We start from the raw sequence: 4,107 nt of genomic DNA, 5'->3' as shown, positions 1-4,107 counted from the left end.
AACCAGCTAGGTGTTCACAGAACCAACTCCCAAGCTCATTTTTTCTTAGTGTTGTACCCATCTGGCAAAAACCCCATCCCAGATGAGACAAGAAGTATCATATATGTGTGTCTGTGTGTCCGTGTGTGGGGGTCTGTGTCTGTGTTTCTGTGTGTATGTGTGTTTGTGTGTCTGTGTTTCTGTGTGTCTGTGTCTGTGTGTGTGTGTGTGTGTGTGTGTGTGCATACTTTCTCTCTGCTCCAGGAGAGCCACACCCCAGCGCGCAGGTCCTGCCATGCTCAGGGGGTGTGATATTCCCCCCTCGCTGTGTCTGTGGCCCCCCTCGCCCTCTCACTCTCCAGAGGACCCATCGCGCTGTCCCTCTCCTGGCTCTCAGCTGCCCGCTCCTCCTCCTCCCTCTCAGCCGATGACTGAGCATCCCACTTCACAGAGAAAATAGAAGCTACCAGATGGCTGTGCCTGTCTTTCTCCTACCGTGTCTGCGAGCCCGCTTTCACCCTCCACATCCTTGCCTTCCTCTGGGGAGAAGTGGCTAACTCCACACCAGGCTCACTCTCCACCTGCGCTCTGGGCCTCCCTGCCCCACCCCTGCTGCCTTCTCGGAAATCTCACTGTATGGATTAGCCCTTTTCCCCTTTGAATGATCTATTTTATCTTTATATCTACCCCCTCCCCCCGCAAAGGACTTTCTCATCGGTTTTTAGACATCTGGAAACCAAACCAATCAGAGTCAAAGGAGAGGAAGGGAAATTGACTCTGAGTTGTCCCTCCACACCCCTCACCCCTGCAGCTCCGCCCTGTCTCTTTCCACCTCTACACAGCCAAGTTTCTGGAAACACTTGATAATAGGCACTGTCTTCGTTTTCTCACTTTATATTCATTCTTCAAGGACTCCACTTCTGTGATGCATTGGTTCAGCTTTGTTTAGGTGTCCTGTCATTACTAAATTCCGGAAAGGTTCGTTGTCTCTTTCAGCCTCATCTGACACTGCCAGCCTAACCACTCCCTCTTTCAAACACTGGCCTTCCTTGCCTTCTGAGGAAGATACTGTGGGCTGACTCATTCAGCATTCATTCTATTCCTGCTTTGCATACCTTCCTGGCAGTGGAGAGAAAGCTAAAAATGACATTTTCCATATTCCCTCTCCACTGTTTCCAGTTGAGGTTTCAATTCCACCCATCAGGCGCCCTCTCTGGGACTGTCATTTGAAACTGAGATGCTGGGCAGGGAGGCAGGGCTGGAGGCATCACTTTTTGCTGCTGTGCATCGCAGCAGGGCAGGAAGGTTCTCCAGCCAAGAGCAGGGATGTAGCTTCCAGATCGATGACTCCCTGATGATGGCAGAGGCAGCAGCTCCTCTGACACTTATTCCTGGAAGCTCAGCCTAGCCTCTGTGTCCTTGCTTTTCCCAACAATTCTATGAATTGCTAGTGACTTTAAATACATGTCTTTTATTTAAATTAGCTAGAGTGTATTCTGTTGTCTGAGACAGCATTGATCAAAGCAATGACCGTAACACAGCACTACCTTCCTCTTCTTGAGCCTCATGGCTCCTCCTCCTATTGGTGGCTTTCCGTCTGGCCATGTATTGAAGCAGTCCTCATGGCCCCGTCCTCACCTCCTTCCTTGTCTTCTTGTCTTTTCTCCTACGCTCGACATTCCTATCCATATTCATGCTGCAGTCAGCACTAGATAAAATGATGCAGGGATGCTACGTCCAGCCAAACCACCTTTCTGTAGGCCACTCAATTTGTGGCAATTTGTTAGGGCAGCAATGGAAAACTAATACACTGGTAGAAACTAAGTGTTTAAGAAACCAATGTATTGGTTTTCTATTGCTGCCCTAACAAATTGCCACTAATTTAGTAGTTTAAAACGATATCCATCGTTATCTCACAGTTTTGTAGGTTCAAAGGGTGGGTGCAGTGGGGCTCAGCTGGGTCCTCTGCCTAGAGTCTCACAAAGCTGAAATCAAGCTGTCAGCAGGGGAGCATTCCATTCGAGGCTCTGCGGGTGAATCTCTGCCAAGCTCACTCAGGTTGTTGGTAGCATTTGGTTCTTTGTGGCTGAAGGACTGAGGTCCCTGTTTCTTTACTGGCTGTCAGCCAGGGCCTTTCACAGCTCCTTAAGGCCATCTGCATTCCTTGTCACGTTGCCCTTTCCTTCTTCAAACCACCGATGGTGTATTGAGTCTTTCTCATGCTATGAATCTCTCTGGCTTCACCTTCTGCCTTTTTTTTTTGAAACGGAGTCTTCCCAGGCTGGAGTGCAGTGGCGCAATCTCAGCTCACAGCAAGCTCTGCCTCCTGGGTTCACGCCATTCTCCTGCTTCAGCCTCCCAAGTAGCTGGGACTACAGGTGCCTGCCACCACGCCTGGCTAATTTTTTGTATTTTTAATAGAGACAGGGTTTCACCATGTTGGCCAGGATGGTCTTGATCTCCTGACCTCATGATCTGCCCGCCTCGGCCTCCCAAAGTGCTGGGATTACAGGTGTGAGCCACCACGCCCAGCCTCCTTCTGCCTTTTTTTCTGATTGCAGTTGGAGAAATTTCTTTGCTTTTTTGTGTTTTTGCTTTCTTTTTTTTTGAGACAGAGTTTCACTCTGTCGCCCAGGCTGGAGTGCAGTGGTGCAATCTTGGCTCAGTGAAACCTCTGCCTCCTGGGTTCAAGGGATTCTTGTGCCTTAGCCTCCCAAGTAGCTGGGATTACAGGTGCCCAGCACCACAGTCAGCTAATTTCTGTATTTTTAGTACAGATGGGGTTTTGTCATGTTGGCCAGGCTGGTCTCGAGCTCCTGGCCTCAAGTGATCCTCCCGCCTTAGCCTCCCAAAGTGCTGGGATTACAGGTGTGAGTCATCGTGCCCTGCCTGTTTTTGCTTTCTTAATTCCTTTTTTTTTCTTTTTTTTGCAATTTTTTTATTGAGACAAAAACTCACATAACATAAAATGCATCATTTTAAAGTGTACAATCCCATGGATTTTAGTATATTCACAATGTCGTGCAACCGTCACCATTGTCTAATTCCAAATCATTTCTATCACTGCAAGAGGAAACCATGGAAACCGTAAGCAGTCACTTTTCCCCTCTGCCTGTTCCCTGGCAACCACTCATCTATTTTCCATCTCTTCGAGTTTGCCTATTTTGGACATTTCACTTGAATGGAATCATTCGCTATGTGACCTTCACTCTCTGGCCTCTTTCACTTAGCATAATGTTTTTAAGGTTCATCCCTGTTGCAGCATGAATCAGCACTCCCTTCTTTTTTATAACTGAATAATATTCCATTGTATGGATGTACCACAGTTTGTTGATTCATTCATCGGTTGATGGTTATTTGGGTTGTTTATATTTTTGGCTATTGTGAATAATGTGGCTATGAACATTCATGTGCAGATATTCGTGTGAACATACATTTTCAATTTTTTTGAGTATATATGTAGGAATTGAATTGCTGGGTGCTATGGTAACTTCATGTTCAACTTTTTGAGGAACTGCCAAACTGCTTAAACTGTTTTTAACAGTGGTTGCATCATTTTACATTCTTCCCAGCAATGTATGAGGGTTCCATTTCTCTACATTCTTGCCAACATTTATTATTTTCCTTTAAAAAAAATTACAGTCATCCTAGTGGCATCTCACTGTGGTAGTGAAGTGGTATCTCACTGTGGTTTTAATGTGCCTTTCTCTAGTGAGTAATAACATAAGCATCTTCTCATGTGCTTGCTGACCATTTGTGTAGCTTCTTTGGAGAAATGTCTATTCAAGGCTTTCACCCTATTTTTGAATGGATTTTTGTCTTTCTATTTCTGAGTTGCAAAAGTTCTTTGTATATTCAGGATACATAGTTTCCAGTAAGTGTTGTTCAATAATTCAATAATGAGCTATTATTGTAACCATAATAGGTTTGTTGCCTGATGCGCACAGCAAGTCAATATGCCAAGACATCAGTTTGCAGCAGAGGAAGAGGTTTAATTACAGAGCCACCTACTAAGGAGATGGGAAGGAACCTTAAATCCAACTCCATGAAGAGTTTTGGACTAGGGTTTTTAAGGGTTTGGAGTGGGACAAAATGTGGAGATTATTGATTGGCTGAAGAGTGCAGGGT

The 4,107-nt window shown here is 45.8% G+C and overlaps 1 annotated feature.

Annotated features, from left to right (window-relative positions):
• Positions 467-1,239: an enhancer, noted in NCBI's record as "H3K27ac-H3K4me1 hESC enhancer chr18:8948615-8949387 (GRCh37/hg19 assembly coordinates)". NCBI's record gives its function as "activates a minimal SCP1, AML or CMV promoter by ChIP-STARR-seq in primed H9 embryonic stem cells {active_cell/tissue: H9 hESC(primed)}" and the evidence as "EXISTENCE:reporter gene assay evidence [ECO:0000049][PMID:30033119]".

This window comes from Homo sapiens, chromosome 18, assembly GCF_000001405.40.
Source record: "Homo sapiens chromosome 18, GRCh38.p14 Primary Assembly".
Taxonomy (NCBI): domain Eukaryota; kingdom Metazoa; phylum Chordata; class Mammalia; order Primates; family Hominidae; genus Homo; species Homo sapiens.
Note: the sequence above shows the minus strand (reverse complement) of the source record. Positions and strands in the feature narration are given on the sequence as shown.